The sequence below is a fragment of the Homo sapiens genome, chromosome 5, assembly GCF_000001405.40.
Source record: "Homo sapiens chromosome 5, GRCh38.p14 Primary Assembly".
In the NCBI taxonomy this organism is placed as follows: Eukaryota; Metazoa; Chordata; class Mammalia; order Primates; family Hominidae; genus Homo; species Homo sapiens.
Window position 1 is genome coordinate 25,188,839 of NC_000005.10, and position 25,835 is coordinate 25,214,673.

General features: G+C 35.5%; 2 long non-coding RNA genes across 2 annotated transcripts in view, besides 1 other annotated feature; one reads left to right on the top strand and one right to left on the bottom strand.

Moving 5' to 3' along the window:
* The window catches only part of LINC02228 (long intergenic non-protein coding RNA 2228), a 64,352-nt gene extending 62,534 nt beyond the window's left edge, over window positions 1-1,818 (bottom strand). The window contains exon 1 of the long non-coding RNA NR_147006.1: window positions 1,609-1,818. This is a non-coding gene — a long non-coding RNA (long intergenic non-protein coding RNA 2228). The remainder of the gene's footprint in view (window positions 1-1,608) is intronic.
* Window positions 1,822-2,321: an enhancer, noted in NCBI's record as "H3K27ac hESC enhancer chr5:25190769-25191268 (GRCh37/hg19 assembly coordinates)". NCBI's record gives its function as "activates a minimal SCP1, AML or CMV promoter by ChIP-STARR-seq in primed H9 embryonic stem cells {active_cell/tissue: H9 hESC(primed)}" and the evidence as "EXISTENCE:reporter gene assay evidence [ECO:0000049][PMID:30033119]".
* Window positions 2,115-25,835, top strand: part of LINC02211 (long intergenic non-protein coding RNA 2211) — a 111,328-nt gene continuing 87,607 nt past the window's right edge. Inside the window, exon 1 of the long non-coding RNA NR_136209.1 lies at window positions 2,115-2,195. This is a non-coding gene — a long non-coding RNA (long intergenic non-protein coding RNA 2211). The remainder of the gene's footprint in view (window positions 2,196-25,835) is intronic.

Genomic DNA, 25,835 nt, shown 5'->3' on the forward strand with positions numbered 1-25,835 from the left:
AAAAGTCTTTACAGAAGACAAGTTTTCCTATGAATTTTAACACAAAGCGTACAAAATATGCTAATTTTACTACTTTGTCATACACTGGCAACCTCTTTAACAACTAGAGACTAGATGTTGAAAAATTAGGACTATTTGTCCATTATATATACTATATACAGAGCAAAACAAAATGCACAAAACGTATAGAAAAATGGTGTCTGAAAATGTCCAAGTATGAACACACTAGTATATTACCTCTTGCAATTTCTTCCCTCCTACCTCCTCTAAACCATTGAACAAGTATACACATTACTATACTGCTCACAAAGGTGGCTTCACAATTCAATTTCCAAAAGCATTTCCTATGAATTTTAGCAAAAAGATATTTACAAAGTGGTATTTTACTACCTATACATTTAACATACATCGGGCACTTCTAAACATCTAGATAGACTAGATGTTTCAAGTAAGGAGTTAATTTGTCTACTATGTATACAGCAGTCTTGAATAAACTGCAAACATGTAACAACAGTTATAATTTGAAAGAGTCTTCCAAATGTGAACATTCTGGCCTAGAACCCTTCCCATCGCCATCAACCCAGAAGACATCAAATTTTCAGAAGACAATCTTTCCTAGGACTTGTAAAACAAAATGTACAAAATATATTAGTTTACTAACTCTACTTTTGTCATACACTGGCAACCTCTTTAACATCCAGAAAGACTAGATGTTGTCAATTAGGACTCGTCTGTCCTTTATGTACATTATATACACAGATAAGTAAAACAAAATGCACAGACATACATCTTGCCTCGCTGTAAACAGGATGGCATAGAGCTCTCTGCACCTCCCCCTCCTCTCTCCTCCCCTGAACCACTGCACAAACACAATGAGTATTACTCAACAGGTGATTTGACCATTCCCCCCAAAAAATATTTCCTATGAATTGTAACAAAAAGGTATTTACAAAATGTGATTTTGCTACCTCTAATTTTAACATATCAGGCACTTCAGAACATCTAAAAAGAAGAGACATTTCAAAAAAGCTTAGCATTGTCAACTATATACACAGTAGTGAGGAATAAAATGCACACAAAACAATGGATAGAATATGAAAATGTCTTCTAAATATGACCAGTCTAGCATAGAACCTTCTTCTCTTCCTTCTCAGGTCTTCCAGCTCCATGTCATCTAACCCACTTAACAAACGTGAACGTATCGCTTCCAGAGGCCGTCTTAACAATTCCATTTCCAAAAGTCATCTCCAGAAGACATGTATTTTCTACGATTTCTTTTAAACAAATGAGAATTTACAAGATGTGTAACTTTCTAACTCTTTTATCATAACTCGACAACCTCTTTCCATCTAGAAGGGCTAGATGTGACAAATGTTTTCTATTAAAAGGTTGGGGTGGAGTTGAGAGCAGCTTTTTCATATTATATACACAGGCCTTCCATAAACGGCCAGTAAATCTTCCCAGAGGGTGGTGGGCATTTCCAACTGGCCAAACGTGGCCTGTCATTCTACCATTTCTCTCTTCCGACAGCAAAGTCTGGTAGAATGAAGACCAACCGCCCGATGGCCGCTAACCGTTCCACCCGTCGTTGTTCGGGACTTCGCTCACCTTTCAGGCCCCTTAAGGCCTTTGTCCGTTGTCGTCAGGACTAGGTAGGTCTCGCCCAATGGCGACAGAGTGGTCACCCGGGAACCGGATCTGCGCGGCTCCGTGGCCGAAAGAGGCGGCCAAGCCTGCTTGCGTCCCTAGGCCGCCTTCCGGGCCGTCCACGCCTTAATGGCCTCCGCCGCGCGGCGTTCGAGCGGCCGCCATACTTCCCGGCCCACCACGCCCGGCGCCGCCCAAAGGCGCTGCGTCCTGGCGGCTCTGCGGGGGTTTCGTCGAGGCCCAGCAGGCTTGGGTCGGGAGACCCGGGTGCCGGCGGGGGCCGGGCTGGGAGACGCCACGGCCGCCATCAGTCACCGAGGTGGGGTGGGAAAGAGAGGTTCGCTGCGGCTTCAAGGTCTGAGCACAGCCAGTGGGCAGCCACAGCAGAGGCCTCCGGTGTCTGCAGGGCAGAGGGCTCGGCCTGTCCCGAGGCCCCCCAGTTCATCCGCCGGCCCGGGGCCAGAGGGCCCTGAAGGCGCGGGCTGCGTTCTGCGTCTCTCCGCGATCTCTGCCGGACCGGAACTAAGACCAGACCATTTTCTTCTGGAGTAAGTGTGACATAAAACTAATGTTACTAATTTTGTGGCTTTATATTTTGGCATTTAATCCTTTGCAAAATTTTAAACCATTGTGGAAACTGTGCAATAAATCTGGTCAACTTAAACTACTGAACTATTTCAATACATTATAATTAATGTCCGTAAAAATCTTCAATCATTTGGAGGTGGTAGTTTTTATTTGATACGGATAAGGGTATACTTTTAAAGAGTCTATTCTTTTTTTGATTAATTATTGCTAACTAATAAAATTGGAAGGTTTTGTTTTGTTTTCATTTGATTCCAGTTTCCTAACGTGATTTATTATGCTATTTATATAAGTGCAAACAATTATATGACAAGATTATATTTAGAATGCATGTATTAAAATATGAAAGTGATATTACTGAGTTTATTTGAAATGTCCCAACATATTGCCACTATTTATACTTCATACATGTTAAAATACCGACATTTTAAACTCATATTTTGAAAAGTTTCTTTCTTTTTTTTTTTTTTTGAGAGACAGCGTATCACTCTATCACCTAAGCTGGAGTGCAGTGCTGATCACAGTTCACTGCAGCCTTGACCTCCCTGGCTCAAGCAATTCTTACACCTCAGCCTCCTGAGTAGCTGGGGCTAGCAGTATGTGCCCATGCCTCGCTAATTTTTTTTTTTTTTTTTGTAGAGACGAGGTCTTGCTATGTTGCCTAGGATATTTAGAGGATATTTTTTGCTTTATAAAAGAAAGAGAAGGAGAAAAATAATTAGGCCCTCAACAACTTCTAAATTAAAATGAACACCTTACACCACTGAGAAACAAATGGGAAATCTTTGGCAGAGGATACATTATAATATTGAATTGAAATTAGAAATGAGTCATGTTTCTGTAACTATATGTTCAAGAGGTAAAAAATTAACATATTTTGTTTTACAAATTACTAATCAAAGTATTCAGCTTTGTAATATTAGAACAAACTATGTTGCTGAAATCCAATGTTCATAACATTAGGAAAACTGAGTTGCTTGTACTGTGTGTATCTGATTTAAAACTAACCTATTTTATTTGATTGTGGTGTGCAGGTATAATGTGACTAGTCTAATCACAATTTGGTTTTGCTTTTTTTTGCAATTGTATATAGATATTTACTTTAATATTTACTCTATCATTGAGTAGATTATTGGAGTATTTCTTCATACATTCCAAGCAATTGAACAATAAACAATTCTCAGAAAAAAAATGACTATTTTCAAGTGAGAGACTGATTTTTTTTCAATCTGTCACATGCAATCTTTGGGCTTCTTGTTTTTCTCCTACCACAATACCCACTTTTTTTATCCCAAACATTATTTGACTGACCAACTTTGTGAAGGGTAATTATTATGAGTGAGGTATTTAGAGTTCACTAGTTTAACTAGGAGGCTGGGGAGACATGGAGATGGGGTGACATGAGTGGTTGGAGCCAGATTGTGAAAACAGTGGCTCTCTCACTGAATTGTACCCCAAAGACAGATGTAGAAATATAACATACAACCCAGACTTTTTCTCACTGTCTATGGAGACACAACCAGTTAACTAGTAAGTTTACAAAGAGCAATGATGGGGTTTCTAACAACATTACCATTGTGAAATAAAGATAAACTAAAGCTGTAATGGGTAAATGAGCAGCAGTCTCATTAGTGGACTTACTAGCTTGACTATTGCGGTTTGCACAGCGAGCTGGTTTTGTCTGCATTTAGAAAAGATGAAGAAGTGGTCTTGTTTCATCTCCCTTCATCACAACCTCCATAAACCAGCTCTTAACAATTTGAACAGATTTTAAAATGTTGAGACATAATGATAACCTGTACATTCTAATTCCATTTGTTGCCAAAAAGAAGCATTTACTTACGCTCAGTTTTCCCCTCTCAGTTGAACTTTAGATAGTGTCCCTTGTTTGTTTGTGCTGATGTGTGTGTATGTGCTTGACACATGGGTTTTGTGAAGAATAATATTAGGTGTTGACTTGATTGGATTGTAGAGATCCAGAAGGCTGGTAATGCATTGTTTCTGGGTGTGTTTATGAGGATGTTGCCAAAGGAGACTGACATTTGAATTGGTGGACTGGGAGAGGAAGACCCAACTTCAATGTGGGTGGACAGCATCCAATCATCTGCCAGCCCTGCTAGAACAAGCAGGTGGAGAGAGGTGGGATCACTTTGCTTCACTAAGTCTTCTGGCTGTCTCTTTCTTCTTTCTGTGCCTGATGTTTGCTTCTGCTTCTCTTGACCTTGGACATCAGACTCCAGGTTCTTCGGCCTTTGGACTCTGGGAAGCACCAGTGGTTTCCCCAGGGCTCCCTGGTCTTCCACCGCAGACTGAAGGCTGAAATGTCAGTTTCCCTAGTTTTTAGGCTTTCAGACTTGGTCTGAGACACTACTACTGGCTTTTCTGTTTCCTCAGCTTGCAGATGGCCTACTGTGAGACTTTGCCTTGTAATCATGTGAGACAATTCTCCCTAATAAACCATCTTTTGTATATACATATTTTCTATTGGTTCTGTCCCTCTGGAGAACCTCAACAAAAACAGGTGTGTGTGTGTGTGTGTGTGTTGTGAATCTTTTTCTAACAATTTGCCATTATCTTTTGGTTTCCCCTTCTCCACTTGAGTTTTGGCCTCCAGGATGAACTACAGGCTAAATGTGTAGATGCCTCCTTTTTCCATTGGGTCACTTACATCTTTCCTATGAGTGGGTTCTACAGGAATCCTAAAGAAGCTTCCATACTTTCTAGTTCCCTGACTGGAGAGATGCCTTCTGGGACAGCTTTTCCAAACTGCCTCTCAGCTGCCCTGGTAGGTTGTCCAGTCCTATTGCTTCGTGTTGCTGAATACCTCTCTCTAGCAATCAACTTTTGTAGCAACGTGGCACAAACTCAAGTATACTCAAGGCTCATGGAGGACTCACAGCTTTGCCCCAAATACTGACAGTACATGTTTCTCCCCTACTTCAACTCTCTGTTGCAATGCTGTAATGCTTGCCAACCCCATTCCCTTTTTAAAAAAATCTTATCAAAAAGAAATAAACTGGTTATGCTGACATTCAGCATTCATCCTAGGTGTGATTACCATGAAAACAGTTCACTTGGTTTTTATGGATGGTCAAAGCCACCACATGGTAGAAAAGACAGGGGAAGGAACACATTCTTTTCTTGGCATACTAACAATTCTCTCCATTTTATTTCTGACATTTTTCTTTCTCTTTAATACACATTGTGTACATTTATTTATATTAATCTCTTTCTATATTTATCTATATATAAACCTATATCTATATATCTATTTTAGATGTTAATATAAATGTAGATAGATATGTTACATATGATACATATATCTATATAGATATGATGTGTCATATATATCTCTATATATTTGCAGTATATAAACATAAATAGACATTGATATAAGTATATAGATATAGATGTATATATTATATATGCTATATTTATATATATGAAAATGAGAGAAATGAGAAATATGCTACAAGTTGAATATCCTGTATATGAAATTCTTACGGTCAGCAGTGTTTTGAATTTCAGATGTTTTTGTTTTGAAATACTTTCATTATACTTACTGATTATCCTTATTCCAAATTTCCAAAATCCAAAATTCTCCAGTGCGCATTTCTTTGATTGTGACATTTGTGTTCAAAAAGGTTTAGATTTGGCCAGGCGCGGTGGCTCACGCCTGTAATCCCAGCACTTTGGGAGGCCGAGGCAGGTGGATCACGATGTCAGGAGATCGAGACCATCCTAGCTAACACGGTGAAACCCCGTCTCTACTAAAAATACAAAAAAATTAGCCAGGCATGGTGGCAGGCCCCTGTAGTCCCAGCTACTTGGGAGGCTGAGGCAGGAGAGTGGCGTGAAGTTGGGAGGCAGAACTTACAGTGAGCTGAGATCATGCCACTGCACTCCAGCCTGGGCAACAGACCAAGACTCCGTCTCAAAAAAAAAAAAAAAAAATTTAGATTTGGAGCACTATGAATGTTTGGATTTGGGATGCTCAACCTGTATTTTGTGATAGTGATTGTTATTGCTCTTAGTAAGTCCTGCAGGGATGAGTCTTATACTTCCTCCTCTTCTATCTTTAGAAGGTGAAGCTACTTAAAATTTATTATTCTTAGTTTTAGTACTTTATTCACTATTCTAGAAAAAGAGGTACAATTCTACTTAGTAGGTAATGTTACTATTTTCCCAGTCAAGGAGTTTCAAATGTTTCTATGTCATTCCCTCATGATGGCATTATCTGAACTATAATTGAATCTTCTTTTTTCCCTTAATATAAGCTTCTATCTATACCCTACTCATCATATTTCTTAAAGTGATTGTCTCTTCCCTGCATTATTGTAGTTTTTATTATTTTTCCCACATCTAGTAGCACTCAGTTTGTGAACATTGGTTCATTATATTTTCAAAAATTACACCTCTGTTTGTATTACAGTCACATGCTGCAAAACAATGTTTCAGTGGATATCAGACTGAATATAAATTGTGGTCCCCTAAGATTAAAGTAGACTTTTATTATATAGGTGTATATATAGGTGTACTATTTTTAATCCTTTATAGCATCTTTTACTGTATTTTTATATGTTTAGATACACAGATATTATTGTGTTACAATTACCTACAGTGTTCAGTACAGTAATATGCTGTACAGGATTATAGCCTAGGAGCAATAGGTTTTACTATCTTGCCTAAGTGTGTAGTAGGTTGTACCATCTAAGTTTGTGTAAGCACGCTCTAAGGAGTTCACACAATGACAAAATTGCCTAACCAGTAATAAAATGATGCATGACTGTATATTTATCTCCATAATAATGAAAGACATTTTACTTGCATTCAAAATGAATTATAAATTGGTACACCCTCCCACGATCCAAAGTCAAACCACTCTTCTTCCTAGAATGCAAACATAAAATTCATTCCTAAACATGCTCCTGCTTTCTAATCTGATACACTTTTGCTATTTATTTGTTATTTTTATTATTTCCTCTGCCCGTGTCCACTTCGTATTTTGTTTTCTATTAATACATTATCCACCATTCCAAATCCATCACAAATTTCACATCCTACAGCTTTGAAATGATCTCACATTTCCCCTTAAATATGGCAGTTAGTGCCTCTAATAGGACATTATGTTACGCCATACAGAATCATTATGTTTGTCCCTCTTTTATTTCTCAACTAGAGTACAGGTTTTTTTTAGAAACATTCAGTGTTATGTCTCTAGGCTTGTCCAGACACTAACCTTTATTTTCATAAACTATCAAAGAATAATTTAAATTAATGAAAACTGGAACTGTATTTTCTTTACGTATGTGAAATGCTAAAGAATATGTATTTCCATTTTGACGAACAGTTGTCTCCCTTCCAATTTGGGATGGTTTCTCTAAAATTATTTTTATCATTTATAAGTATATTATTGCATATTGATATGTCACATCTAAGAGAAGGAAGTTAGAAAGTTGCTGTCAGCAGAAGCTTGTCCAACTTTTAATTATCTTCTCCTAGTTACAGATAGAAATGCTAAACGGTTAACAATTTGTGAAAAAGACTATATCAGCAGCAATGTTAGTTTTTCATATCATGTCCTAAGAAAGGTTTTAATTTTGGAAAACAAAAGAGTAAATTAATTTTCCAAATAAAATTAAAATAATATTCAGAAACCAAAACAAGTGTTAGTTAACACTTTGGGAATAATATTCCCTTCACATGCATTTTATATAATTATACATGAATATGATATAATATGGCAGATATATCTATCAAATAAGTTATTATAGCTTTTTTCTATTGTGCAAATCAGCATGATGAACATAGATATGCTCCAGTGGAAATAAATATACAAACCTTAGTAATGTGAGATGTGTGGAATGTGAGAGAGAGAGAGAGAGAGACTGGAGCATAGACGGTTACAAATTATCTGGAGAAAACATCCTAGGGCCTTTACTGGGGTCTCATTTGTTTGTTTGATTGATTTTTAAGTGATCATTTTTAATCGAAAAAATTATATATATTTATTATGTGAAGCATGATGTTTTGAAACATGTATGCCTTATAAATGATTAAATTCAACTAATTAACATATACACTACATTACATACTTAACAGTTTTTGTGGTGTCAACACTTAAGATCTCTCTTAATGATTTTCAAGATTACAATACACTGTTATTTACTATATTCACCATGTTGTACAATAGATTTCTTGAACTTATTCTTTTGTGTAACTGAAATATTGTATTCTTTGACCAACATCTCCCCAGTTTCCCACCTATAGCCCCAGGTAACCACCATTCTACTCCGCTTCTATGAGTTTGACTTTTCAGATTCCACATATCAGTGAGATCATACAGTATTTCTATTTCTGTTCCTGCCTTATTTCATTTAGTGTAATGTCCCCAGATCCATGTATGTTATTGCAAATGACAGGATTTCCTTCTTTTGCTTTTTTAAGACTGAAGAGCATTTCATTGTGCATGTATATTACATTTTCTTTCTTTGTATGTATGTATGTATGTATGTATGTATGTATGTATGTATTTCAGAGGGAGTCTCACTCTGTCACCCAGGCTGGAGTGCAGTGGTGCAGTTTTGGTTCACTGCAACCTTTGCCTCCCGGGTTCAAGTGATTCTCCTGCCTCAGCCTCCCGAGTAGCTGGGACTACAGGCGCGTGCCACCACACCAGGCTAATTTTTTTATTTTTAGTAGAGACGGGGTTTTGCCATGTTGGCCAGGCTGGTCTCAAACTCCTGACCTCAGGTGATCCACCTACCTTGGCCTCCCAAAGTGCTGGAATTACAGGCATGAGCCATGGCGCCTGGCCCACATTTTCTTTATTCATTCATTTGTTGTTGGTCTTTTGGTTGATTACATAACTTGGCTATTGTAAATAATGCTACAAATGAACATAGGAGTGCAGATACTTCTTGGAAATGCTGATTTAATTTTTTATGGATATACACCCAGAAATGAGATTGCTGGATCATATGATAGTTCAATTTTGAAATTTTGAGGAGCACCCTTATTGTTTTTCATAATGGGTGTACCAATTTATCTTCCCCCCAACAGTGTGCAAGGTTTCCCCTTTCACCATATTTTCTTCAACATCTGTCACTTTCTATTTTTAATAATAGTGATCCTAACAGATTTGAGAGGTTCTCTCATTGTAGATTTAATTTGCATTTCCCTGCTGGTTAGAGATATTGAGCATTTTTTCATATACCTATTGACCATTTGTAGGGTTTTGCATTAAGAACTTGATTGATAAAGAGTAGAAACAATAGCCTCGGAGAATACCAGAAAAAAATTGTTATATTCCAGTTAGGGAGAAATTTCAATGTGAGAGAAATACCAAAAACAAAAGCTCCAAAAAGGGCACAGAGAATTCATATATTTAACTTGAATTGTATAAACTGTAAAGAATCATCAAAAAACAGCTAATGACCAGGACACAATTAATTTTAACTGATTTTTGGAAACGTTACAGATGAGAAATGTTATTAATCCATCTAAACTACAGATACAAATAATTAATTCCTCTCCCAAATCATATTGTGTCCGGAATTGGTGGGTTCTTGGTCTCACTGACCTTAAGAATGAAGCCGCGGACCCTCGCGGTGAGTGTTATAGCTCTTAAGGTGGCGCGTCTGGAGTTTGTTCCTTCTGATGTTTAGATGTGTTCGGAGTTTCTTCCTTCTGGTAGTTTCGTGGTCTCGCTGACTCAGGAGTGAAGCTGCAGACCTTGGCAGTGAGGGTTAACAGCTCTTAAGGCAGAGCGTCTGGAGTTGTTCGTTCCTCCTGGTGGGCTCCTGGTCTTGCTGGGCTCAGAAGTGAAGCTGCAGATCTTCCAGTGAGTGTTACAGCTCATAAAAGCAGCGTGGACCCAAAGAGTGAGCAGTAGCAAGATTTATTGCAAAGAGCAAAAGGACAAACCCTCCACAGTGTGGAAGGGGACCGGAGCGGGTTGCCAATGCTGTCTCGGGCAGCCTGCTTTTATTTTTTTATTTGGCCCCACCCACATCCTGCTGATTGGTAGAGCCCAGTGGCCTGTTTTGACAGGGTGCTGATTGGTGCCTTTACAATCCCTGAGCTAGACATAAAGGTTCTCCAAGGCCCCACCAGAGCAGCTAGATACAGTGTCGATTGGTGCACTCACAAACCCTGAGCTAGACACAGGGTGCTGATTGGTGTGTTTACAAACCTTGAGCTAGATACAGAGTGCCGATTGGTGTATTTACAATCCCTGAGCTAGACATAAAGGTTCTCCAAGGCCCCACCAGAGCAGCTAGATACAGAGAGTCGATTGGTGCATTCACAAACCTTGAGCTAAACACAGGGTGCTGATTGGTGTGTTTACAAACCTTGAGCCAGATACAGAGTGCCGATTGGTGTATTTACAATCCCTGAGCTAGACATAAAGGTTCTCCAAGGCCCCACCAGAGTAGTTAGATACAGAGTGTCGATTGGTGCACTCACAAACCCTGGGCTAGACACAGGGTGCTGATTGGTGCACTCACAAACCCTGAGCTAGACACAGGGTGCTGATTGGTGTGTTTACAATCCCTGAGCTAGACATAAAGGTTCTCCAAGGTCCTACCAGAGCAGCTAGATACAGAGTGTCAATTGGTGCACTCACAAACCTTGAGCTAAACACAGGGTGCTGATTGGTGTGTTTACAAACCTTGAGCTAGATACAGAGTGCTGATTGGTGTATTTACAATCCCTGAGCTAGACATAAAGGGTCTCCGAGGCCCCACCAGAGCAGCTAGATACAGAGTATCGGTTGGTGCACTCACAAACCCTGAGCTGGACACAGGGTGCTGATTGGTGTGTTTACAATCCCTGAGCTAGATATAAAGACGTCCCCACCAGACTCAGGAGCCCAGCTGGCTTCACCCAGTGGATCCCACAGAGGGGCTGCAGGTGGAGCTGCCTGCCAGTCCTGCGCCATGCGCTGGCACTCCTCAGCCCTTGGGCGGTCGATGGGACTGGGTGCCGTGGAGCAGGGGGGTGGCATTCGTCGGGGAGGCTCGGGCTGCGCAGGAACCCACGGAGGCGGGGGAAAGGCTCAGGCATGGCAGGCTGCAGTCCCGAGGCCTGTCCCACGGGAAGGCAGCTAAGGCCCGGCGAGAAATCGAGCGCAGCGCCAGTGGGCTGGCACTGCTGGGGGACCCAGTACACCCTCCGCAGCTGCTGGCTCGGGTGCGAAGTCCCTCATTGACCGGGGCCAGAAGGGCTGGCCGACTGCTCTGAGTGCGGGCCCGCCAAGCCCACGCCCACCCGGAACTCCAGCTGGCCCGCAAGCGCCGCACGCAGCCCCGGTTCCCGCTCGCGCCTCTCCCTCCACACCTCCCTGCAAGCTGAGGGAGTGGGCTCCAGCCTTGGCCAGCCCAGAAAGGAGCTCCCACAGTGCAGTGGTGTGCTGAAGGGCACCTCAAGTGCCGCCAAAGTGGGAGCCCAGGCAGAGGAGGTGCCGAGAGCAAGCGAGGGCTCTGAGGATTGCCAGCACGCTGTCACCTCTCAATATCACAGTTGGGAACTGCAGATGATTCAATTGTATTCGTACTCACTCTCAGCGAAATCTCAGTACTGTTACAGTGAATCCAGTCTTCCCTCTATTTCATCCATTTCTTTGGACCCAAAGATCTCACACTCTTTTCACATTTTCTGCTCTGTTTTCTTTTTTACCAATTCCATTCTTAACATATTTTATTTTCTCAGCTGATAGTGTAGTTTTCTTCTACCCTCAGAAAAATACCGCTGCATATGCATAGGTTGCGGTAGATTGTGGGAAGAATTCCAACGTAAATACTGAAAGCGTGGTAAAGTAGCTCTTTCCATTTATATATTAATCCCTTTGTTTCAAGGGGTTCTGGAATATGTCTCCATATGCCATGTTGGAAATAATTTATGTAACATTACACTGTGCCTCCTTCAAGTTCCCTTATCTGGAGGTAAAGGAACCAGGAACTAGGATGTAATTCAGCTTCCAGACTATTTTCTACATATGAATTACTTGCATAAAGTGATGTCCTAAGATCAATGCATGTAGGTCCGCCTTGTAACTGCTTGTCAGTTACCTTCATGCAAAGGAATGTAACTTGCATGGCAGCCAGGACTGCATATCTTTAATCATTAAAATCCTAGTTTTAAAAATTCTGCTGTGATTATTCGGGTTTTGGGAAATTACGTTTACCCTTGTTAATATGTATGTATATGGAGAATTACACATTATTTTATCATAGCTTTTTAGTCTCTTTATAGATAATTTTTCTTATTTTCTAAGAAATTATATATCTGAGTATATTATATAATATTTGTGTAAAATACATAGGGAGATCCCCACAAACAATATACACTAACACATGCACAATTATTGTTTTATCTGGCAGTTATAAAACATTGGTTACCTAATTCGCAGGCAAATGCAGGGAATATCAGTGAATTTAACCGACATATAAAGATACTATATATATCAGGATTATTTTATAAGACGCACTACTTCGTATGATTTTGCTTAAGAGCTTATTGCTAAAACGTTAGCACATTTTTATCTCTTTTTAATTTGCTTAGATCATTATATTATAGGCCTGCAGGCTGCCTAGGTTGCTGAGGTCAACCCAAGGATCGGATTATGCTGCTGTTGTCAGCACTTCAGTTTCCACTGAGATCATTCAGTTCAATCTCATATTTAACCTTTGACTTCAAGCTTATCTTCATCCAAAATGCTTTGCAGACACTTTGAAATAACACATCATTTACATATCATTGCCCCAGTACAAGCCAAAACCATAGCTATCAGGATGTAACAGCAGTGTGAGTTTTACTTCAAGGACACAGGATGATGTTTCTTCTGAGCAAATTAAAAAAGAGAGTTGTCTAATGGACCCAGGGACATTTAAGACACCAGAATAAATATGATAAAATCTTGAATAAAAAGTTCTATTTTAATAAGAAGTGAATAGCTAATAAGAAAATTGAATTGAATATCCTGATATTCATTATTACTACATTATATGAAATAGCACAGTAATGATTTCATCTTTATAAAAATCAATAGTTACATTCCATCTCTTTAAACATTAATATTTTATGAAAGGTTTAATGTTTTGGATGTTCACCACAGAAGACAATGTTATTTGCTGATGGATAGTGAAGAAATACTTTAGCACATTAAATAACTTACCAATTGTTTCAAATATGTTAATAGTGATGTTATGAACTGAAAATATCTTTATGCTATTACTAATGTGTTTATGTTTAAGATGCTTCTAATTTTACTGTAAACAATGTAATCTGTATAAGATGGCTAATTAGAAAAAATATCCCAATTATTCTTCTCCTACTTATGTTGAATTGTTGAATTAAAAATAATCAATTTATTTTGGATTGAATATGTAAAGATATAAATGGCACCGACTGGTTCTTTCTTCTGCCATATTTACAAAGTTTATGTATATCCCCCCCAGAAAACAAATACACAAGATTCTAATAGTATTTTCTATAGAAATTAGTCATTCTGGATTTTTATTCTGTGGGTAATAGTTTGCTTAGAAATAACAATATTTACTAATTTTAAACAAAACACATTAAATGACAATATTGGGTATATTTTCTCCTAAAGCTATATAGATATATTTAAATTTTAATCACTTGGATCATAGGATCTAATGACCATATTACTTCCATGATAATGTTTTGCATTACTTCTTAATAAAAATTTTAAGTAAATTTTATTTTTTAGAATTGTTTTTAATTTAAGGAATTGTGAAGAGAGTGCAGACAGTTCTAATATACCCAATTCTCTACCCTTTTTCCCTCTGTTATTAACATCTTATATCAATATGGTATATTCATTCTTATTAATGAACAAAAGTTAATACATTATTACTGACTAACCACATTTTATTCAGGTTTTTTTGGTTTTTACCTATAGTCCATTTCTGTTCCAAGATTCTATCTAGGGTATGACATTATTTTGTGGTGTTCTGTCTCCTTAGGCTCCTCTCCTCTTGATAGTTTCTCAGATTTTTCTCATTTTTGTTGACTTTGATAGTTTTGAAACATACTGGCAGGTGCTTTGTAGAGTGCCCCTCTGTTGAGATTTGTCTGGTATTTTATTTATGATTAGACTGGAGTTATGCATGTTGGGAAAGGAAGATAACAGGGTTAATGCCATTCTCATCACATCATAGCAAGGTTACTTACTATCAACATAAGTTTTCACTGTTGATGTTGATCCTATTCACATGGCTGAGGCAGATGAATATTATATGTTACATATAATTATTATATGTATTATATTTACATATGTAATTATTATATGTAATATATAATATAGAATATATAGTATGCATAGTATTATATATTATATATTATAGTATATGTGTAACATACAGTGTATATTATATATTGTATATGTGTAACATGGTGTATATTATATATTATAGTATATGTGTAACATATAGTGTATATTATATATTATAGTATATGTGTAACATATAGTGTATATATTATAGTATATGTGTAACATATAGTGTATATTATAATTTTATTATATTTATGCTGCACAAATACATATTTTTATATTAGTATATAATATATTATATAATTATATAACATATATTACATCCAATATATTAATATTTATATAACATACAGGTCATATATCTAATATATTACACATATAATATATAACATATACAATATGTTATATATAACATTTTTATGTTCTATATATTATATATACTATATTCTATATATAATATATACTATGTTATATATAGTATATATGTTACATTATATAATACATAACAGTATAAAAATATAGGAATGTATTTTTACATGAGATATATTTATTTCTCTAATATCAAATTAAAATTAACATCAGATTAATTAATACAGATTCATATATAATATCCTATAATTTTTTTCTTCCTTGTTACATCTTTTTGCCTTTGAAATATCCTTGCATTTTTCCTCACATTTATATTTAATTAATAAACACACAGCTTTTAATTTTCAATTGTATTGTGTTTTTTACTACTTTTTTTTACATTTCTTACTTGATTAATTATAATTTATTAATCAATATTATTTAATTGTGTTAAATTTATTTATCAACTCATACAGAAGGAATATGAGTATAAATTTAACTCTAAATGCAACTCTAAAGACATTTTAAACATCGATAAATGGTAATGTCTTTTTACATATTAATAGTAAATTTTAGTTGCAAATCTAACTGTGGAAGAAAAATTTGGAAGCTAACTATTTCATATATTAGGGTTTTTAAAAATTTTAATATTATCACATTGTTCACAAATATTCAAATTGCTTTTTCTTTACTGAAGTATGCATTTTTCCTTATTTTCTTAAGGTATTATAATTTTAATGGCTTATATTAATTTGTAAATATGTTTCTATGCAGAGACCAATATAAAAACATATATACCATCAGCTGTGTTTGTGTGTGTGCAGTTACATATACAGAGAAACTCAATAAATCAAGATAATTATATTTTTCAAATAATATAGATCAGTGTTAATTTGTCAACTTGGTTTTTCAAACACTAGGAAAACTCTTTTAATGAGAAGTAATTCATATCCTCTGAGAGCATTCAGTATTTTTTTAAATATCTACATGTCTATATTTATATATGTTGAGTATATATATATGCATATATAAATGTATATTACTTTTATATATATTAGAAATCATTTTAAGTAAGTAGCACATGAACAGTTTAAACTTACAGTTCAAAGACAGATTATGTATTTTGCTAATACCACAAAACCCATTTTGTCTCTTGAGGATTTCCCTTTAATTCCACTTTGAGATCATCATTACTATTATTTAATACAGCTATGAGTGATAGAACTTGTGAAAGATGAGAATATGATTTTAGTTTTGCTTTTAGATTCCTGTTGAGGTAGATTATACAAGAAAGATGATTAAATTTAAGTATCAATAATCTATTTCAAAAGAAGTAGACTTCAAAAAGTATATGATGCAGAAAAACTTAGATTTTTTTTCCAGACAAAGAGTAATTTTTCTATTAATAGTTACTCTTGAGGAAAGTGTAAATTTATAAACAAATAATTAGATAACGAAATAAATAAATCCATAAGTACGAACAAATAAAGAATTGTGGTATGCATACACACACACTCTGTTTACTTTTTTTTCCCTAACCATACTACCCAACTAATCCTGTATACGTTTTTCACATTTTCTTATATATCTAATTTATGCTTTCAGAAATTAAATAATATGCTTTATTTCTAGTAGTCATATAATTTTACCTTAAAAATTTTTTACTTATTTGATTTGTTTTATAATGATAAAATGTTTTGCAACAATTTGAACAATTTGAAATAAAGAAAAAGTCAGTTTACCTTGGTGCGTGTCTTTGTGAGATACTGATTACAGATTGCTCATTAAATCATAGATAAAAGGAGACACATATTCAATATGTTGCATGTTTATTTCTCAAATGGAATCATGATGTATATACAGAGATTATTATTTTTAATACGTAAAGCTAAATTAAATAGCCATGAAACATTCTATTACTACAGTGAATACCTACACACTTAGAATACAAATAAAGAATAAAACATTATTTGTGTTGTTGAAGCCACCTGGATTACTCTCTCTGGTTGCACATATGTTCTTTCTTTCAGAGTTAGTCACTGTCTTGAATTTGTTTGTTGAGTCTCATACACTTTCCTATACATTTATTATGTGGTAGTTTTACTAAATAATCTATGTATTATTTGCTTCTTTTATTCTGTATGTAAGTCATGTCATATGGATATACAGTATTTTCAGGAATGTTGCTTTCTAAAATCTACATTATGTTTTAATAATATATCCTTTGCCTAACAGACCTATAATAGCCTCACTTGAGCTGTTGATTTGTAAGGCAATACTGATTCACATTAAGATCTACCCCTCAGTCTCATGTCACTAGATTCACATTTCAGCCAGCCCCACAAAGGAAGTTAGGTATTGTGATTCATGAGTTGTAGCATACATGCCAGTAATTACAAAATAATAAACAGAAATCTGGGAATAATCATGAGAAACAATCTTATAGGTGCCAATTTAGGGTGAAAGGGATGATGTAATGTTGGATCAGGTTGAAAATATTGACAGAAAAATACTAAATAAAAAATATATATATATGGGTTCAGTCTATTAACCTAGGAGCTGGCAGCAGCTCTAATAATTAGTTGGTTGACTGAAATCTAAACCCAACCATAATCTCCATTAAAATTCAGGTATTAGAGCAAGCTTAGTGTACCACAGAAGGAAGTTTTAGGTTTAGGGATATGAAATGCTGAAGTAGATTTATTATGTTAAATCTACTCACTTATTACTAATTAAATCCCAGAGGGTACATAATATATTGCCTTTATTCAGGCTTTGGGAAATGCATTGGTAAGATAAGAACCAGTATCTTTCTAAGTCTTTATGGTGGTCTGCAGGCCAACCTCACTGACAATGGATACGGATATATATCCAGTTAATGGTGAAAGACTGAAGAGTTTTAACAACATTCTACTCTACTAGAAGTACAAGATATTTGGTAAAGGGATTCAAATATTAACATCAAATAATGTGAGCATGCATTCTTCTCTAGTTAGATTTTTGTTTGCTTTAATTTTCTAATTTACAGAAATATATATTTATGGGTTGCATAGTGACATTTTGATACATATAATGTATAGTGATTAGATCAGGGTGAATAGCATATCCATCATCTCAAACATTTATCATTTCTTTGTGTTGGAAATCTCCAATACCCTTCTTCTAGCCATTGGAAATTATGTATTATTGTTAACTATAGTCATCCTACAGACTTATGGAACCAGAACTTATTCCCCCATCTAGCTATAATTTTGTATTCTTTAACAAATCTCTCGATGTATCTGATTTGGGGAGGTAATTTTCTTTTTATCCATCTAAAAGCTGTAGCTTTTCAACCTTCGGTAGAAGTTTTTGCCATCAGTTTCCCACCTGCTTCCACTAAGGTAATGTTGTATTATTTGTTTTAACCCTCACACTTGTTACTTCCATTCCTAGAGGACAGAATCCTTAGAGCAGAATTTTTTGGCATGAACTATTCTGCCTTTTTGTTTGTTTTCATTTTTATTTTTATTTTTATTTTTTTATTTTTATTTTATTTTTTTATTATTATTATACTTTAAGTTTTAGGGTACATGTGCACATTGTGCAGGTTAGGTACATATGTATACATGTGCCATGCTGGTGCGCTGCACCCACTAACTCGTCATCTAGCATTAGGTATATCTCCCAATGCTATCCCTCCCCCCTCCCCCTACCCCACAACAGTCCCCAGAGTGTGATGTTCCCCTTCCTGTGTCCATGTGATCTCATTGTTCAATTCCCACCTATGAGTGAGAATATGCAGTGTTTGGTTTTTTGTTCTTGCGATAGTTTACTGAGAATGATGATTTCCAATTTCATCCATGTCCCTACAAAGGACATGAACTCATCATTTTTTATGGCTGCATAGTATTCCATGGTGTATATGTGCCACATTTTCTTAATCCAGTCTATCATTGTTGGACATTTGGGTTGGTTCCAAGTCTTTGCTATTGTGAATAATGCCGCAATAAACATACATGTGCATGTGTCTTTATAGCAGCATGATTTATAGTCCTTTGGGTATATACCCAGTAATGGGATGGCTGGGTCAAATGGTATTTCTAGTTCTAGATCCCTGAGGAATCGCCACACTGACTTCCACAATGGTTGAACTAGTTTACAGTCCCACCAACAGTGTAAAAGTGTTCCTATTTCTCCACATCCTCTCCAGCACCTGTTGTTTCCTGACTTTTTAATGATTGCCATTGTTTTCATTTTTAATTTAATAGAATTTCAAGACTGTGGTGCATTTTTGCTTTTGTTTCCCCAAAATGGTTGTAGCAATTCATGTTTCTACCAGTAACACAAAAGACAGTTCTTTACTGGATGATACATTTCTGACAACAGTCTGATTGGTTATACACACATACACACATACCCACACATTCACATACACACATAAATACTTAAATATATATATATGTGTGTGTGTTTGTGTGTGTGTGTCAATATCTACATTTTTGTTTTGCTCTCCATGACTTCGAATGAATTTTGCTGTTTATGTGTTTATGCTCCTTTTAGCATTTTGATATGCTTGAGAAGCAGACCATTACTTTTTGTTCTACTTGAGTGGTTTTAAGTGAATTATAGAAACTTCTATATATTCCTCTTTATTTGATGCATTCATTTTTCTTTTATTCCCCTAATTGAACTATGTCTACTTATTATGATACCTTATTTCCATACAAAAACTTTATTTTTGTATTATCAAATATTTTGCTTTCTATTATATAACTCAAGTAATTAAAATCTTTACTATTAGAATATTCCTCTAATTTCAGTTTTATATGTATTCTGCTTGGATTTTGCCCAATGGTTATTTTCTTTTAGTTTGCAGAATTGTTTAATATGTTTGGAATTTTTAATTGTCAAATTTGATGACCTTTTCACTTACACTTCATTTATATTTGTAAAAATTACTGAACTTTCACATACACTTTATTTTAAGAGCTTTATGTTTTAAAGTATATGAAACGTTTGAGAGTGCCCACACAATACTTGTATAATGTTATTTCCTTGACAACAGCTGCTAAAATTTAATTATGTGTTGTAAAATTATGTACATTACCTATGTTTAGCTTGAAGATTTTGACTTTAGAACTCTATAGTAAAGTTCTTGTTTCTCTTTTTAGTGACAATTATGCTTTGTCTCAAGCACACTGCTAAACCACTGCTGACTTCAGATCCAGGAAGCTAAGGACATTAGGTATTACTAGTAAAGACAACAGAATTAATCAGATCCACTCCCTAAACTTTGTCATTATTCATAACTTTTTCACTTTAGATAGGTGCTGAGAACAATTATTTTTAATATACAATCTAACTTTTAATTATATATGTGTTTAAAGATATCAAAACAAAGAAAATAAAAATCACTACTACGATGTCTCTTACATGTGTAGATGTAATCATTATCATCTTTACTCTTTTAGGGAGTGTTTTTAACTTGTATTATATACTTTAGCATGTAATATAATATGTCAATATAAAGTATAATTTTACTATTTACGTATTATTGTAAATTTTTTTGCCGAAACACTTTATCCAGTAACTTTTTTTAGATATTTTTTATGTCTTAAATTATTCTCTGGGATAAAGATGTAAATTATTGTCCACATACTTAATTATTACCTTAAGAGTAATTCTTAGATCTGATTCCACAACCATTTTTGAGACTTTTGATATGCATTGTTAAATTTCTTCTACAAATAACTGTATTATAGTGGTAACCTGTGGTGGAAATAATTGCATGTTTTTGTCTACTTTATTTGGAACACCAGATTGGATATGTTAATAATAGCTTTTAAAAAGCACATGCTACTGAAAGATTTTGAATAGTAAATTCACACAAAATCAGAGTGACTTATAATCCTTTTTGTTTCTTACTCCGTACAAATATGAATTTTTTAATATTTTTTAATTTAACCATATTTGTATTGCTTGGCACAGAGTATATGTTCAATATATTTTGAATGAATGAATAGTTAACTTCCATGGTGCTAGATCTCAAAAATTTTGTCTAAAAAGTAGTGACACCTTCCTTTCAAAAGAGAAACTGTGTTTCCTATGTGAAAATTCAATCTTTTCATAAGTTTAAATAATATATTTGAAAGACCCTCAATTTTTACACAGTTTCACAGTTGTACATGGGAAATGTAAGATGAGATAGACGTTTTGTCATACAGAAATAGCTCCTGATAATCCTTTTGACCTACCTGATGCTTTCTCCTGCCTTCTGGATCAGCTCACTAAGTTTTTCAAGCCAGCAGCCTGGTGTATCTCTCTGATATGAGACGTTTTGAAGAAATGCCTCTATTAGCCACTGCAGGTGAAGCCTGCTCTCAGCTCTCATCGGTCTCTGACAGTGGGGCTCAAGATATAGTACAATACTCCACTCATTCATTCAAGCCACACTGGCTTACAAAACATACAGCAGGTCACTCTTTCCCAAGTCACACATGGTGAAAGTTGTCTTATATCAAAAACTGCTAGTCTTACTTTTCAGTACCTCCAGTTCACAGATGGGCACACACTTTGTAGAAAATCATTTTTTTTTCTTAATACGTAGCCATCAGTTCTGTGAGCTATACCTGGCCATTCTGTGACCAAATAATCACTCTTCAGTGTTTATCTAACTGTAGTAAGGTACTTAATGATTCAATCCTCGCTCACCTTTATGGCAAATTATTTCTTAGTCACTACATTGCCCCTTTGCTTTCATTCACCTTGATCACTGTGACCCAATTCATTCAAAGAATTTCTTGTTCAACAAAATTTAATTACAAAGAGATATAGCTGTGAAGCCCTTGCCATTCTAGGCAAATTTGGACTATTGCATTCCTGAAATAGCCAAGTTATATGGTGAGGAGTAACATGGAGGCATACATTTATGGATTTTTTTTTCTGTGTTATCAGCGTGGCCCGATATACATGCTCTTATTAAAATGAGTACATTCTTGTCTTGCAAAAGAGAATATTCACATGGCTATTTCCAGGCCAAAGGGAGACTTTCCCAAGATAAATTGATGCTGTCATTTATGGATAGAAAAGAAAAAAAAAATAATGACTTTTAAATGATAAAATGCAGTATTAAAGTTTCTTCTCAATAAGATATGTTTTTTCTTTTAAAAAATGAATTAATAAACAGAATTGTATTTTTCAAAAACAAAACAAAATGAAAAATAATAATAATAACAAAACTCGTATTGCTATTTGGCAAGGGAATTTGTGTGTTTATTTGGTTAGAAAAAAATTAATGATCTGAATGAGAGAAGTTCAGATAAACATAATAACTAGATTTTGAGACTATTTATTGCTATAGGTAACCAAGTACTTAGTAGAACCTTTTGTGGACCTGTGGCCATGTTTTCTTTATTCCTATTCTTTGCCCTTAATGGGGGATGAAAACATTTCATAGCCACCCTGCAAATAAGGAACTCATCTATTAATGTCAATGGAAAGTTTGTGTCTAGAAGTTATATAGCTTACATCGACACATATCATGGAACAAGGCACTATTTGTTATCGAACTTTCCATGCTGACAGAGTATACACATCAAAAACAAATTTTGTGAAAGGTCATTTTCTGAGAAAAGTAAAGTATTAAAATGCTTAAGTAAATAAAGTAGGCCTGTTTACAGATCTATTTGTATCTTACAGTGAACTTTGGGATAACACCTTGGTTATTGTAACACTTTTACACCCCATTACATGGAATATTTTTCTTGATTACATTGAAGTCCAAAAAATGGATGGATAAACTACATTTATAACTTCTGCAGCTGGATGACCTGGTAAACAAGACCAGAAATATAATATTCCTTATATTTCTGAAAAAAAAAAATTTGTTCTTTGGATACCACGTAAGGATGGTAAATTGAAACTAGTACACTGCTTAAATTTGAAGACGTATTCCTGGTATATTAAATTTTATTCAGATAGATATTGGAACTCAGTAAAGTACTCAATAAAAATCATGTTAATTTGGGATTTGAGGAGCAATACTTATTTTCTCCTTAGAAAATAACATTTTATTCACACCCTTCAAATATGCACACCTGTTTTTAATTGAATAAATCATTAAGAGAATAAATAAAATAAAATATATGTTGAGTTTTGTGTAATGGTGAAAATTTGTAAAATATTTAAATGGTATTTTTCATGGAAAAATTAAAAATTAATAATTTCAAATTAGCATGCGAATGCAACAAATGCTTTTAGGGCTTTATTAATTGGCTCCCTTCTTTTATTTGCTTGACCTATTATTACAATTTCCATAAAATGTATAAAGTATTTAACAGCAATTTGCTCTAGTGTAATTGACTAAATGTCATGAGTTAAACATGGGAAGCAAAAATCAAGTACTAAAAAAAGAAAAGAATTAACAAATACACTTTTCTGTGAAAATGTATAAGGTTTAATTATTCATTTTTGATGGATTGGCTACAATATATCTGTCATTTTTGAAGGCTAGAATACCAGTGATAATAAGATTCACATTTAAACATTTTTAGTTTTGGTTACAGTGGCAAGATGACCAACTACACACAGCCAGGATGAACATCAGCCACCAAGGGACCAGGACATTGGGATGACAGGCACACTTATACCAGATCTTCAGAGGGAAGGCATTCAGAACAGATGGAGAGAAGGCACAGATGCTGAACTGAAGGGGGAGACCCCCCATGACCACCAAGGACACTTGAATTTGAAAGGAATGATGCTTAAAGAACTGGTAAGGGCAGAATTCCAGCCAGTGCAGAGCCCAGAGGGTTTGATATGGGAGTGTTTGTAGTGGAACACAGCCAGGGACTCCCATCACCATAGGCACAACTTGCTCCCATAGGAAACTAGCGGAAACTGTTGGACCTGAACTCTTCAGAGTGGGCTTGCCCATGAGACGAGGCCAGTCCAAACTGAGCACTTCTCAGTCTGCTCTATCCACAAGGTCATCAAAAGGATAAAAGAGAATTTTTAAAAACCCATCCAAAGGACAGCAACTTCAAAGATTGAAGAAACATCAGCCCACAAAGATAAGAAAGAACCAGTGCAAAAACTCTGACAACTCAAAAAGTGAGAGTGCCTTATTTCTTTCATAAATCCATACTAGCTGTCCATCAAGGGTTCTTAACAAGATGGCTGAATAGACAGGAATAGAATATAGAATATAGATATAAGCAAAGAGAATTGAGATTCAGGAGAACATTGAAACCCAATCCAAGGAAGGTATGAATCACAATAAAATGAGGAGCCTTCCAAGAGCTCCTGAAAGAAACACTAACTGTGGAAAGGAAAGCCCATTACCAGCCACTACGAAATCACACTTAAGTCCAAAGATCAGTGACACTATAAAGCAACCACACAAAAGTCTGCATAATAACCAGCTAACAACGAAATAATGGAATAAAATCCAAACATATTAATACTAACCTTGAATGTAAATGGTCTAAATGCCCCACTTGAAAGGCACAGAGTGGCAACCTGGACAAAAAGCAAGGGCCAACGGTATGTTGTTTTCAAGAGACCCATCTCACAGGCAATAACACTCATTGGCTCAAAATAAAGGGATGGAGGAAAATCTGCCAAACAAATGGAAAACAGAAAAAAAGCAGGGGTCGGAATCTTAATTTTGGACAAAAGGGACTTTAACAAAGATCAAAAAAGACAAAGAATGACATTAGATAACGGTATAAGGTTAAATTCAACAAGAAGACCTAACTACATATATATGTATCCAACACAGGAACACTAGACTCATAACGCAAGTTCTTAGACACTTTCAGGGAGACTTAGACTCCCACACAATAATAGTGGGAGACTTCGACACCCCACTTGACGATATTAAGGATCTGAACTCAACACTGTTCCAAAGGGACTTGATAGCCATCCACAGAGCTCTTCAACCAAAGCAACAGAATATGCATTCTTCTTATCACCACATAGCAGATACCCTAAAGTTGTCCACACAATGGGACATAAAACAATCCTCAGCAAATGCAAAAGAACCAAAAATATAACAAACACTCTTTTGGACCACAGCACAATAAAAATAGAAAACAAGATCAAGAAAAGTACTCAAAACTATAGAATTACATGAAAATCAACCAACCAGCTTTTTAATGACTTTTGGACAATGAAAATAAGGCAGAAGCCAAGAAGTTCTTTGAAACTAATCTGAACACAGATGCAACATGCCAGAATTTCTGGGACACAACTAAGGCAGTATTAAGAAAGAAATTTATACCACTAACTACCCACAACAAAAAGTTAGAAAGAATTCAAATTGACAACATAACATCACAAGTAAAACAATGCGAGAAGCAAGAGCAAACTAACTCCAAACCTAGCAGAAGGCAAGAAATAACAAAAATCAAAGCTAAGCTGAAGGAGATTGAGGTAAGGAAAACATTTAAAAGATCAGCAAATCTAGGAGTTGTTTTTTTGAAAAAAATTTAGTAAGACAAACTACTAGCTAGACTAATACAGAAGAAAAAAGATCCAAATAAACACAAATAGAAATGACAAAGGGAATGTTGCCATAGTCCCTACAGAAATACAAAAGAAATCAGAGACTGTCTACTAAGAACATGTCTATGAACAGAAACTAGAAAATATAGAATAAAGGATAAGTTCCTAGACACATACACCCTCCCAAGACTAAACCAGGAAGAATTTGAATCCCTGAAAAGACCAATAATAAGCTCTGAAATAGAATCAGTAATAAATAGCCTACCAACAACAACAGCAACAACAAAGCCCTGGACCAGATGGACTCACAGCTGAATTCTACCAGATGTCCAAAGAAGAGCTGGTACCATTCCTACTGAAACTACTCCAAATAATGTAGGAGGAGGGACTCCTCCACAACTCATTCAATTAGTCCAGATTCATCCTGATATCAAAAGCTTGCAGATACACACACACACACACACAC